We start from the raw sequence: 14,146 nt of genomic DNA, 5'->3' as shown, positions 1-14,146 counted from the left end.
GTTGAGCATCTTCTAATATGTTTAAGAGCCATGTGTCTCCTTTTCTACAAACTGTTATTTTATCTACTTTGTTCATTTTTCTAGTGCTGGTTGTTTCTATTTCTGTTTTTGACATTTGGGAGCTCTTTAAATATTAGGAAGATTAGCCATTTTTGATATGAGCTGTAAATTTTTCACCCAATTTGTTGGTTTGCATTTTGTCTTTGCTTATAATGTTTTCTCATGAAATTTTAAAAATGTATTTGAATTGATAAATATTTTATGACTTCTGGATTTTGAGTCATAAGTAAAAAAAACCTCCATTCTGAGATCATAACAGAATTTAATGTATTCTCTTTTATTTTTTACTTGTAAAATTGTAAACTCATTTGGAATTTAAATAAGTATAAAGTATAAAATATTGATCCCCCTTTTTTCAACACCATGAATTTTTTGTGTTGAGGTCTATAGTGGGGCTTTCTGCTCTGTTCCATTGGGCTAATGTTTATCCATTCTCTAGGACCACTTTAATTATTGGGGTGCCATAAAATGTTAAATATCTATAGGAGGAATTCTTTTTAATGCTTCTTAAGAAAGACCTTCTGCCTTTTTTTGTTTTAAGAGACAGAGTCTTGCTATGTTGCCCAGGCTGGAGTGTAGTGGCTATTCACAGGTGTGATCATAGCTTACTGCAGCCTCAAATTCCTGGGTTCAAGTGATCCTCCTACCTTGGCCTCCCAAGTAGCTGGGACTACAGATGCAAGCCACTTACCATGGCTGACTAGTGTTTGTTTTTTCAATGAACTTTAGAATTACCTGGTGTAGTTTTTTAAAAAGAATACTGTCAGTGTCTTTATCTGACTAGTGTTTGTTTTTTCAATGAACTTTAGAATGACCTGGTGTAGTTTTTTAAAAAGAATATTGTATCTTTATTGGGATTATATTAAATGTGTCAAGTAACTCATAGAAAATTGTAATCTTTGGCCAAGCATGGTGGCCCAGGCCTGTAATCCCAGCACTTTGGGAGGCTGAGGCAGGTGGATCACGAGGTTAAGAGATTGAGACCATTCTGGCCAACATGGGTAAAACTCCGTCTTTACTAAAAATACGAAAATTAGCTGGGCGTGGTGGCATGCACCTGTAGTCCCAGCTACTTGAGAGGCTGAGGCAGGAGAATCGCTTGCATCCGGGAGTTGGAGGTTGCAGTGAGCCGAGATTGAGTCACTGCACTCCACCCAGCCCAGCAACAGAGCGAGACTCCATCTCAAAAAAAAAAAAAAGAAAATGACAATCTTTATGATATTGAGTCTTCCTATCCTTGAACATGGTGTGTTTTGATGTCTTTTGTGTCCTTTAGAAGTTTTGAAATGTCCTTTATATCGTCTGAACATTTATTCTTAAGTACTTTATCCTTTTTGGTACTACTATAAGTGGAATATTTCTTCCACTATATTATCTGAACAGAATACAATTTGTTGCTCTTTAGTGATTTTGTTTCTCTGTGTATGAGCAGAAAACAAACTCAATTTCTCCTACTATACTCCAGAAACACACTTCTGATACCACATGTGTGGGGTTCCCCCACCCCCCCATATCAAGCAAGGAGCCAGTTCTGCAGTGGCCACCAGCTGGGTGTTCTTAATTCAATTCCAACACTATCTACCTGGAGATAGCGTCAGATCCCAGTCCCACAAGACCGTCCCCCACTTCCAGTGCCAATTACAAGCCCCAGGTTGTATTACCTGTACTTCTGGCCAACTGGCTATAAATCAGGATTCTCATGACCCTCTTCTTGGGTTTGATTAATTTGCTAGAGCACCTCACAGAATGCAGGGAAGCATTTGCTTACGTTTAGCAGTTTATCATAAAGCATATTTTAAAGGATACAAATGAAAAGCCAGATGAAGACATAAACGGGGCACACTCTGGAAGGGCCTCAAATACAAAAGCTTCCATCCCCGAATACAAAATCTTCCATACAAGACCACCTTCCTGGGAAACCCCTGAACTCAGTCGTTACGGGTTTTTATGGCGATTTCATTATGTAGGCATGATCAATTACATCACTGGCCATTGGTGATCAACCTTCGGTTCCTCTCTCCTCCCCGAATGTGGAGGGTGGGGCTCTGAGCAGACGGTTGGATCCCCTGGCAAGCAGCCATCCATCCTGTGGTTATAAACGTTAAGCTCAGTTGTGGCTCCAAACAACAAGCCCGACTTTCACTTTTTTTTTTTTTTTTTTGAGATGGAGTTTCGCTCTGTTGCCCAGGCTGGAGTGCAGTGGCGATCTCAGCTCACTGCAACCTCTGCCTCCCGAGTTCATGCAATTCTCCTCCTCAGCCTCCTGAGCAGCTGGGATTACAGGTATGCACCACCATGCCCACCTAATTTTTGTATTTTTAGTAGAGACAGGGTTTCACCATGTTGGTCAGGCTGGTCTCGAACTCCTGACCTCGTTATCTGCCACCTTGGCCTCCCAAAGTGCCGGGATTACAAACGTGAGCCACTCCGCCCGGCCCATCTTTCACCTTTATGCTTACTCTGGAGCTGCTCCAGAGCTGTTTCAAGAACAAAGGATGAAAGGCCAAATATTTTAAGGAAAGATACTCTTATCACACTCTAGTCTCCTAGGAAATTACAATGATTATATGGGCTGTCAGCCAGGAACTATAGACAAAAACAAAGAATAGATATATCACACTTACTAACTTCTATAAAACAGAATGAGCGTCTTCATGGAGCGGAGCAGAGGACGCAGGTTTTACAGACAGAATAAGCTGAAGAAACCAGAAACAAAAAACAAAGAACGGATCGGTCATTTCAAAATTACTTTCTTAGTAAGGCAAGAACAGGGAAACAGAACAATTGAAAAATAACTGGTGGCCAGGTGTGCGGGCTCACACCTGTAAGCCCAGCACTTTGGGAATCCGAGGCGGGTGAATCACGAGGTCAGATTGAGACCATCTTGGTTAACACAGTGAAACCCCATCTCTACTAAAAATACAAAAAAAATTAGCCAGGCATGGTGGTTGGCGCCTGTAGTCCCAGCTACTTGGAAAACTGAGAAGGGAAGATTTGCGCCCAGTGTGTTTCGGGAATTAATGGGTTCTCGGTCTCACTAACTTCAAGAATGAAGCCACGGATGCTCGTGGTAAGTGTTATAGTTTTTAAACGCGGCCTATCCAGAGTCTGTTACTTTTGATGTTCAGATGTGTGCGGAATTTCTTCCCACTGGTCGGTCTGTGGTCTCACGGGCTCAGGACTGAAACCACAGACCTTCCCAGTGAGTGTTACAGCTCTGAAGGCGGTGCGTCTGGAGTTTTTTCTTCTTCCCGGTGGGTTCGTGGTCTCGCTAGCTTCAGGAGTGAAGCTACAGACTTTCGCGGTTGAGTGTTACGGCTCATAAAGGCAGCGCGGACCCAAACGGTGAACAACAACAAGATTTATCGCAAAGAGTGAAAGAACAAAGCTTCGCCAACGTAAACTGGGCCTCAGCGAGTTGTCACTGCCAGCTTGGGCAAGCCTGCTTTTATTCTCTTATCTGGCCCCACCCACATCCTGCTGATTGGTCCATTTTACAGAGAGCCGATTGGCCCATTTTACAGAGAGCTGATTGGTCCATTTTGACAGGGTGCTGATTGGTGCGTTTACAATCCCTGAGCTAGGCACGAAAGTTCTCCATGTCCCCACTAGATTAGTTAGATACAGAGTGTAGACACAAAAGTTCTCCAAGTCCCCAGCAGAGTAGGTAGATACAGAGTGTCAATTGGTGCATTCACAAACCCTGAGCTAGACACAGGGTGCTGATTGGTGTGTTTACAAACCTTGAGCTAGATACAGACTGCCGATTGGTGTATTTACAATCCCTTAGCTAGACATAAAGGTTCTCCAAGTCCCCAACAGACTCAGGAGCCCAGCTGGCTTCACCCAGTGGATCCCACACGGGGGCTGCAGGTGGAACTGCCTGCCAGTCCCGCGCCGTGTGCCTGCACTCCTCAGTTCTTGGGTGGTCGATGGGATTGGGCTCCATGGAGCAGGGGGCGGCGCTCATCGCGGAGGCTTGGGCCGCACAGGAGCCCACGGAGCTGGGGGGAGGCTCAGGCATGGCGGGCTGCAGGTCTTGAGCCCTGCCCCGCGGGAAGGCAGCTAAGGCCTGGCGAGAAATCGAGCACAGCAGCTGCTGGCCCAGGTGCTAAGACCCTCACTGCCCGGGGCTTGCGGGCCGGCCGGCCGGCCGCACCGAGTGCGGGGCCCGCGGAGCCCACGCCCACCCGGAACTCGCGCTGGCCAGCAAGTGCCGCGCGCAGCCCCGGTTCCCGCCCGCGGCTCTCCCTCCACACCTCCCCGCAAGCTAAGGGAGCCGGCTCCAGCCTTGGCCAGCCCAGAAAGGGGCTCCCACAGTGCAGCAGTGGGCTGAAGGGCTCCTCAAGCGCGGCCAGAGTGGGCACCAAGGCCGAGGAGGCGCCGAGAGCGAGGGCTGCAGGCGCGCTGTCACCTCTCACCAGGAGGAGGTCGAGGCTGCAGTGAGCCATAATTGCACCACTGCACTCCAGCCTGGGCGACAGAGCAAGAACCTGTCTTAGAAAGAAGCAGGGACTGAGCTGGGGAGGAAGGCTGGTGCCTGTGCCCTGGGAAGAAGGGCAAGGTGCTCTCAGAGTTGCTCTGGGGACAGGGACTCTGCCCCACGTTCAGAATTCATCCCCAACCTTGGTCTGCATGCTGGGTATGAGGAGAAAAGTGGCCCAAGAGAAGCCCTAAGTCTCCATGCTGGCTTCTGGGCCCCATGGGAGCCCGAACCACAAAGCTATGCAGGTCACTCCAGAGGGCCCGAGTCACCCCGAGGAGGAGAAGCAGCCCGGGGAGTGGCGTCCAGAGGTCTCCCTGGGAGCCTCGGCTCCTAGGTCAGAGCTCTCGTTTTTTTCTGACGGGAACGCAAAGAAAGCCAGTCCCGAGCTTGTGGTGCCATCTTGTGGCAACACGGGAGATAGCTGGTTTCCTCTTTCCAGAGGCTGCTTTCCAGGGCCGGGGAGGGGCGGGGCAGGGCAGTGAGCTGCTGTAGTAGAGTGACGGTGAAGAGCGGGGTCTAGGGAATATTCACCCTGCCTAGCCTTTCCCAAATGCATTCACACACACACTCACACTCACACACACACCCCTGTTGTACCTGGTCCAGGTGCGCTTGACAGGGTTGTGGGGGTAGAGAGGAAGGTGGGAGGCTTTGGCCAGGAGAAACTGGGGGAGACGGACTACTGCGTCGCCAGAAACTGCAGATTCTGGATTAAATCTACAAAATGAGGCATTCTGAAATCAAACGGCGTTTTAAGACCTTGCTAGGACCAGATGCTATTACCTTTGGAAGTTCCTTCCCACACCTTATTAAATATTAAAATACACAGATTTCTTACGTTAAATATAACATAGCACTGTCAGGTAACACGAGGTGATTTTTGTATGTTTGCCTTGGAAATTACTTGGCTAAGAGTAATTCATTTATGGTGTAATTACCTACGCGTTCTCAGCCCTCCCTGGGTATTCATTTGCATTCTTAAAGTACAGTCACACCCTAAATAACGACGTCTCAGGTCAGTGATGGGCTGCGTATCCGATGGCGGTCCCATAGGATTATAATGGAGCTGACAAATTCCTATCACCTAGTGACGTCATAGCCGATGTAACATTTTAGCTGACACAAAGCATTACTCATGCAAATCTATGACGGAAGAAAGAAACAAACTTGGCAAACCACCATGGACATACTTCTGAAAAGACGGACACTTCTTCAAGAAGTGCCTCAGGCAGGTCCTTTAGGAGAGATTGCAGAAGAAAGCATTGTCCGCTGGGCGTGGTGGCTCACGCCTGTAATCCCAGCACTTTGGGAGGCCGAGGCAGGTGGATCACCTGAGGTCAGGAGTTCGAGACCAGCTTGGCCAATACGGCGAAACCCCGTCGCTGGGCATGGTAGCGCGTGCCTGTACTCCCGGCTACTTGGGAGGCTGAGGCTTGAGGATCCCTTGAACCTTGGAGGTGGAGGCTGCAGTGAGCTGAGATCGTGCCACTGCACTCCAGCCTGGGCGACAGAGTAAGACTCTGTCTCAAAAAAAAAAAAAGAAAAAAAGCATTGTTGCAATAGCAGGTGACAGCTCCATGCGTGTTGTTGCCTATGAAGAACTTCCAGTGGGACAAGGTGTAGAGGTGCAAGACAGTGATATTGATGGTCCTGACCCTATGTAGGTTTAGGCTAATGTGTGTATTTGTGTCTTAGTTTTTAACAAAAAGGTTTTAAAAGTAAAAATAAAATAATTGAAAAATAAAAAGTTTATAGAATAAGGATACAAAAAAAGAAAATATTTTTGTATAGCTGCATAATGTGTTTGTGTTTTAAGCTAAGTGTTATTATAAAAAGTCAAAAAGTTTAAAAAAAATTTTAAAGTTCATAAAGTTGTAGAAAGCTAAGGCTAATTTATTACTGAAGAAAAACTTTTTTTTTGAGACAGAGTTTTGCTCTTGTTGCCTAGACTGGAGTGCAATGGCACAATCTCGGCTCACTACAACCTCCGCCTCTCAGGTTCAAGTGATTCTCTTGCCTCAGTCTCCCTGGTAGCTGGGATTACAGGTGCCCACCACCATGCCTGGCTAATTTTTTGTATTTTTAGTAGAGATGGGGTTTCACCATGTTGACCAGGCAGGTCTCGAGCCCCTGACCTCAGGTGATTCACCCACCTCGGCCTCCCAAAGTGCAGGGATTACAGGCGTGAGCCACCGCGCCCTGCCAAAGAATAATATTTTTAATAAACTTAGTGTAGTAGCCTAGGTGACAGTGTCTTTAAAGTCTACAGTAGTGTACAGTATTGTCCTAGGCCTCCACATTCATTCACCACTCACTCACGGACTCACCCAGAGCAACTTCCAGTCCTGCAAGCTCCATTCATGGTAAGTACCCTAAACAGGTGTACATTTTAAATATTTTATATGATATTTTTACTGTGCCTTTTCTATGTTTAGCTATGTTTAGATACACAAATACTTATTATTGTATTATAATTGCCTACAGTATTCGGTACAGTCACGTGCTGTACAGGTTTGTAGCCTAGGAGCAATAGTCTATCTCTTATAGCCTAAGTGTGTAGCAGGCTACACATCACAGAGTGTGTAAGGACACTCTCTGATGTTTGTACAACATTGAAATCACCTAATGACACATTTTTCTGATGGTATTCCTGTGGTTAACAGATACATGACTGTGCTCCAAGAGTTAACATCTAGTCTACAAATTCTTTTCAAAAGTAATGAAATTCTTATGAACACTGCATTTAATAATTAAAGAGGCCAATAGAGAATTAATGACATAAATTAACAATCGATGACACTTTGTAGACATTTGATTAAACATTTATTAATTTGGATGATTCTGTAGTTTTTACATTTTGGAGCCAAGACTTTTCTCAGGTTTTAAACATTTATTTAGGTCCCTGAGAAGCTCATGGGCTTTCAGCATGTCCTCTGAGACCACTTTACCTGAAAGATAAGTGGCCTGATGTCACCTACCCATAGGAAAGCTATGAAGAATAAAAATTAGATACTAGATGAAAGCACTTAGCATAGTGTCTAGTAAACACTGAGCACCTAATTAGAAGTAGTAGATGTTAGTAAATGTATCTGCACACATGTACGCACAAACTCATTGATTCACTCAAACATTTTTTATTGGGCACTCACTATGTGCTGGGCAAGGCAATGTTCTAGGTGCCAAGGATATAGTAGGGAACAAACCCACCAAGAACCCTGTCCTTGTGGAATTTACATTCTAGTTGTGAGAGCTAGACATAAGCAATAAGCATTAAAAATCAGAAAGGAGGCCGGGTGCATTGACTCCTGCTTGTAATCCCAGCTCTTTGGGAGGCTGAGGTGGGAGGATAGCTTGAGCCCGGGAGTTTGAGGCTGCAGTGAGCTAGGACCACACCACTGCACTCCAAGCCTGGGCAACAGAGTGAGTCTCTGTCTCACACACATATATATATGTGTGTGTGTGTGTGTGTGTATATGTATATACATATAGGTATATACGTACGTATATACATATATATATATAGAGAGAGAGAGAGTGAGAAACAGAGAGAGAGAGAAAAATAAGAAAGGCATACAGTATGTTAGAAGGCCATGAATGCCTTGGGAGAGGGCCTGGCATGTTCTAGAACAGCAAGGAGGCCATTGTGGCTGGGATGGAGAGAGGGAGGAGAGTGGCAGAAGACCAGGCCAGAGGGGAAATGGGGCCAGCTCATGTAGGGCCTGGTAGGCCACAGGAAGGGCTGTGTTCAGTGGGAGCCCCTGCAGGGTTCTAAGCAGAGGAACATGAGGGACTGAACATACACGTGCACCATGGCCAGACCCTGTGGAAACTAGAACTCTGAGCCTAACCTGCAGCAAGCTGCCCAGGAAACCAACCCCCTCATCTGGAATCCACAGCCCAGGATGCCAGTCTGCTATAAGTCAGACATGAAGGAAGCCAGATCACTATCTCCAGTAGCCATCCAGGAAGCAAAACAATAACTTCTCTAACAATCAGCCCCGAAAGGCCAGGACTTGATTAAAAACTGGCAGCTTCCCTAATTTTTGTCCCAGCTTCCAACTTAGGGCCAGCAAGAGAAAGCCAAATATGCACCCACCCCTCCCCAGCCAATCTCAGAATCCCCTCCAAATTATCCCACCCAGCTTCTCCAGGCCAATAGCCTCCAATCAGGGCACACCCCAAGCCTTCCCCCACCTCCTTTCCCGCACCCCTACCCCCGGCCCACCGACAATAAGGCTCAGCCTGATTTTGAGTCCCTACAAAAATGCAAGTGATGCTGGCTGACAACCTTGCTACAGCAAGCTCTGAATGGTTTTTGTTTATTTCTACAAATGGTAGGATCTGTCTTACGAAGCTGCTTTATTGAGAATAGATTGTATGTAAAAGCAGACCCATTAAGAAACTGTTCCAAGACTCCATCTCAAAAAAAAAAAAAAAAAAAAAAAAAAAAAAAAAAAAAAAGCGGCTGTTGCAATAATCCAGGCAAGAAAAGAGAGTGGTGTGGACCAGGCTGGTAGCAGGGCGGGAGGTGGACTCTGGTTATTTGTATTCTAAGTTGTTAATTTTGAAATAATTGTAGGGTCACAGAAGGTCACAAAGGAATGTAGAGAGAAGTCCCATGTTCCCTACCTCTCATGCGAACAACTCACATAACCAGAGTACAGTATCAAAACGAAGAAATGGAACATCGGCACAATCCATTGAGTTTATTCAGATCTAACCAGTTATGCACGCACCCATTTGTGTGTGTGTTTGTGTGTGCCTGTAGGAAATGGGAAATCATGTATATAGTGAGAAAAATAGAGTTGGCCTTTGTCCCTGGTTCTTGGCACAGATCTTTTAAAACCCTCCTAAAATTTCCTGAGTTACAGTGATGTTTTGTTATTCATAACAAACCCCTTTCAACCATACCTGAGCTTATGTTAATGAGGACCCTAAATAGTTTCTGGATACAGGCTGCTGATCAGAAAGACTAAGCCATGATTGATGATGAGAGAGTTGGAACTTTCAGCCTCACTCTCTGACCTCCAGGGAGTGGACAGTGGCTAGGGATGGAGTTCAGTCACCAATGACCAATGATTTCATCAATCATGCCTCTGTAATGGAACCTTCATAAAGTTCCAAAACAATGGAGTTTGGAGAGCTTCTGGGTTGGAACACATGGAGATGCTGGAGGGGTGACGCCCAGAGCAGGCAGGGAGGCTCTGCACACCCACCCTACAATACCCAGTCCTATGCATCTCTTCACTTGGCTGTTCCTGAGTTGTATCTTTTACAATAGACCAGTAATGGTGAAGTAATGTGTTTTTTTGAGTTCTGTGAGCCATTCTAGCAAATTATCAAACCTGAGGAATGGAGGTCACGGGAACCTCCAAATTTGTAGTTGGCTGGACAGAAGTGTGGGTAACCTGGGGACCCAGTACTTGTGACTGGCATGTGAAATGGGGGTAGTTTTGTTTTGTTTTGTTTTGTTTTTTTGGAGACATCGAGTCTCACTCTGTCACCCAGGCTGGAGTGCAGTGGCACGATCTCGGCTCACACAACCTCCGCCTCTGGGTTCAAGCAATTATCCTGTCTCAGCCCCCCAAGTAGCTGGGATTACAGGCACTCGCCACCACTCCTGGCTAATTTTTGTACTTTTAGTAGAGATGAGGTTTCACCATGTTGGCCAGGCTGGACTCGAACTCCTGACCTCAGGTGATCCGCCTGCCTCGGCTTCCCAAAGTTCTGGGATTACAGGCATGAGCCACCACACCCAGCCATTTTTTTTTTTTTTGAGATGGAGTTTCACTCTTGTTGCCCAGGCTGGAGTGCAATGGCGTGACCTCAGCTCACTGCAACCTCCACCTCCTGGGTTCAAGCAATTCTTCTGCCTCAGCCTCCCGAGTAGCTGGGATTACAGGTGCCCGCCACCAGGCCTGGCTAATTTTTGTATTTTTAGTAGAGACAGGGTTTCACCATGTTGGCCAGGCTGGTCTCGAACTCCTGACCTCAGGTGATCCGCCCGCCTCAGCCTCCCAAAGTGCTGGGATTACAGGTGTGAGCCACTGCGCCTGGGAGAAATGGGGGTAGTCTTATGGGACTGAGCCCTTCAGCCTGTGGAGTCTGACACTAACTCCAGGTTAGTATCAGAATAGAATTGAATTATTGAACACCCAATTGGTATCACAGAAGCAGAAAATCGATTGGTGTTGGAAATGATACCACTTATTTGGTATCAGCACAAAGACCACAAAAAAGCTTTTTTTTTTTTTTTTTTTTGAGACAGAGTCTCACTCTGTTTTCAGGCTGAAGTGCAGTGGCACAATCTTGGCTCACTGCAACCTCCTCCTCCCGGGTTAAAGCAATTCTTCTGCCTCAGCCTCCTGAGTAGCTGGGATTACAGGCACACACTGCCACACCCGGCTAATTTTTGTATTTTTAGTAGAGACGGGGTTTCACCGTGTTGGCCAGGTTGGTCTCGACCTCCTGACCTCGTCATCCCCCCACCTCAGCCTCCCAAAGTGCTGGAATTACAGATGTGAGCCGTCGCACCCAGCCAACCACAAAGTAGCTCTATGTAAATTTGCCCTATGTGTAGCCTGGAGTAGCCACCAGAATGACCGAGGTGCTCAACTGTACCATCACCACAAAGCCTCTCGTGTAACCCCTTTACAGCCACACCCTCCCCTCCCTTCTGATATGGTACTGATCTGGGTCCCCACCAAACCGGGTGGAGTTCTCATGAATGGATTAGCACCATGAGATCTAGTTGTTCAAAAGTGTGTAGCACCTCCCATCTCTTTTCCTCCTGCTCTGGCCATGTAAGTGGTGCCTGCCTCCTCCTTTGCCCTCCCCATGGTTGTAAGTTCCCTGAGGCCTCCCCAGAAGCTGAAGCCACCACGCTTCCTGTACAGACTGCAGAACCATGAGCCAATTAAACCTTTTGTCTTTATAAATTACCCAGTCTCAGGTATTTCTTTATAGAAAGAGGAGAACGGACTAATACACATTCCTAACTCCTGACAACCACTAGTCTATTCCCTCTCTAATTATATTATTTGCCGTGTAAATAGAATCATGCAGTGATGTATCCTTTTGAGGCTGGCTTTTTCACTCAGCAAAAGTTCATCCAAGTTGTTGCTTGTACCAATAGTTCATTCCTTCTACAGCAGAATAGTATCCTGTGGTATGAATATACCATAGTTTGTGAGTATTTTCTGGTTTAGGGCTATTATAAATAAAGCTTCTATGAACATTTGTGTACAAGTTCCACCATGAAAATAAGTTTTCATTTCTCTGGGAAAAATGCATGACAGTGCAATTGCCGGGTTTTATGATAAGTCCATTTTTATTTTTGAAAGGAACTGGTTATATTTTGAACATGGGGCCAACAGGATTATCTGACAAATTGAACGTGGGTTTGAGAGAAAAGAGGAGTCAGGGATGGTTCTAAATGAAAGCATGCTGGAACACAGTAAGGGCTTGGTAAATGTCAGCTGCACAAGTGGTAGCAAATACAGCTGCAATCATGAAAGAAATGAGAAAAACCACGAGGCACTGTAAGCCATGAGACATTGCCCTAGAAGGCATTTAGAGTCACTCATTTGCATATGTTAAAAGTGAAAGAGAAGAGTGTTTTATTTCCTCTTAGGATATAGAAAAACCACAAGGGAACATCATTCCCATTCTTTTCTGGGGGGGCTCCAGTGATCATCCCACCTCAGCCTCCTGAGTAGCTGGGACTACAGGCTCCTGTCGCCATGTCTGGCTAATTTTTTTTTTTTTTTTTTTTTTTTTTTTGTAGAGACAGGGTTTCCCCATGTTGCTCAGGCTGGCTGGTCTTGAACTCCAGGGCTCAAAGGGTCCACCCACCTCACCCCCGAAAGTGCTGGGAGTACAGGAATGAACCACCCCGCCCCCCGACTCTAACAATAACAAAACACCAGATAATTTGCAAAACCATAATTTCTTAAACCAGTCAGATAGCTGAGGTGGCAGGCAACCAAGAGAACTGAATTCCAAAGAGTGACAAGCCCCTCCAAGGAAAGGCAAGACCAACTGTCTTGGGCAGAGCATGTGGTGGGCAGGAGGGAGTCTGCCCTGCCTTCTGAGCTTTTTGCACAGGCCTTCACTGCAGGAAAAAGACTGGAGGCAGAGGGGGAGCCGGGAGAGACCCCTCCCCCTTGCTGGTGGCACAAGCACTCAAGCGGTGATTGACTGCTGTGCAGCGACCCCCACCTGCTTCCCCAGGACGATTCTCTCTGGGCAAAACCACGTGGGAGGCTGCACTCTCTGGCCCCAGGGCTGCTGCGGGAGAGGCAGAAACGAAGATCCACTGCTTCTGGGGCAGGATCAAAGTAAACACCACTTGCCCCTGTGGGAGGCGCAGGACGCACTCTCCTGTGTTAAACCCACAGGAGATAGAAGGCACGACAGGAGGGACAGGAGCACTTCGAAGACTCCACCTTCTGAGACCCTAGTACACAGGCTCTGCGGAGGCTGGGCCAGGAGAATGGAGCAACATCCCACCGTCCGGAAACCCTTTAACACACGTCCACAAACTGCCTCCACTACTAGCCCAACCAAGAGTAGCAGCAACGGCATTTACCACCAGGGGGCGGGCAAGAGCACACAGAGACATTTACCACCAGGAGGAGGGCAAGACCACGCATCCCCTAGGTAGTGCAGGCGAGCAGGGGTTGCTGAGAGCTGAGGGTGGAGCCGCAACTTCCAGAAAATTTCCGGGACCCTCAGGCTGTCTGTGAGAAACACACTTTAAATATAAAAACCTAGGGCTGGGGCGGTGGCTCACACCTGTAATCCCAGCACTTTGGGAGGCCTAGGCGGGCTGATCTCCTGAGGTCAGGAGTTCGAGACCAGCCTGGCCAACATGGTGAAACCCCATCTCTACTAAAAATACAAAAATTAGTCGGATGTGGTGGCACATGCCTGTAATCCCAACCACTTGGGAGGCCGAGGCACGAGAATCGCTTGAACTCGGGAGGTGGAGGTTGCAGTGAGCTGAGATCACGCCATTGCACTTCAGCCTGGGCAACAGAGCGAGACTCTGTCTCAAAAGAAATAAAAAATAATAATAAAGACCTAGATAGCCTAAAACCAAAGGAATGGAAAAAAGGCATGCCATGCAAACACTAATCCAAAGAAAGCTCAAGTGTCTATATTAATGTCAGATGAAGCAGAAACAGAGAATATTTCCAGGAATAAAGAAGGACTGTATATAAAGGGGTTGATTCATCAAGAGGACATCATAACTGTCCATGCATGTGCACTGGAGAACACAGTCAGGGTACATGCAATCGAGACCGTTAGAGCTGAAAGGAGAAATAGACACATCCACTCTTCTCTCAATATTTGGTAGAGCGAGTACACAGAAAATCAGGCTGGGTATGGGTAACTTGAATAACACTAATAACCAACAATCTGATTGACATTTATAGGACATTTCGCACAACAACAGCAGAATACACATTCTTTTTGAGTGCCCATGGAACTTTAGCAAGATAGACCATATTCTGGGCCATAAAGCAAATCTTAACAAATTAAAAATAATTGAAATCATACAAAGTATGTTTTCTCACCATAATGAAATTAAACTAT

The 14,146-nt window shown here is 46.4% G+C and overlaps 2 annotated features.

The window, feature by feature from the left end:
* Positions 4,646 to 4,855: an enhancer, noted in NCBI's record as "active region_9731". NCBI's record gives its function as "activates an Ori minimal core promoter by ATAC-STARR-seq in GM12878 lymphoblastoid cells {active_cell/tissue: GM12878}" and the evidence as "EXISTENCE:reporter gene assay evidence [ECO:0000049][PMID:35858748]".
* Positions 11,984 to 12,133: a silencer, noted in NCBI's record as "silent region_6643". NCBI's record gives its function as "represses an Ori minimal core promoter by ATAC-STARR-seq in GM12878 lymphoblastoid cells {active_cell/tissue: GM12878}" and the evidence as "EXISTENCE:reporter gene assay evidence [ECO:0000049][PMID:35858748]".

Source organism: Homo sapiens, chromosome 15, assembly GCF_000001405.40.
Source record: "Homo sapiens chromosome 15, GRCh38.p14 Primary Assembly".
NCBI classification, from domain to species: Eukaryota; Metazoa; Chordata; class Mammalia; order Primates; family Hominidae; genus Homo; species Homo sapiens.
This window is presented reverse-complemented; position numbering and strand designations above follow the sequence as displayed.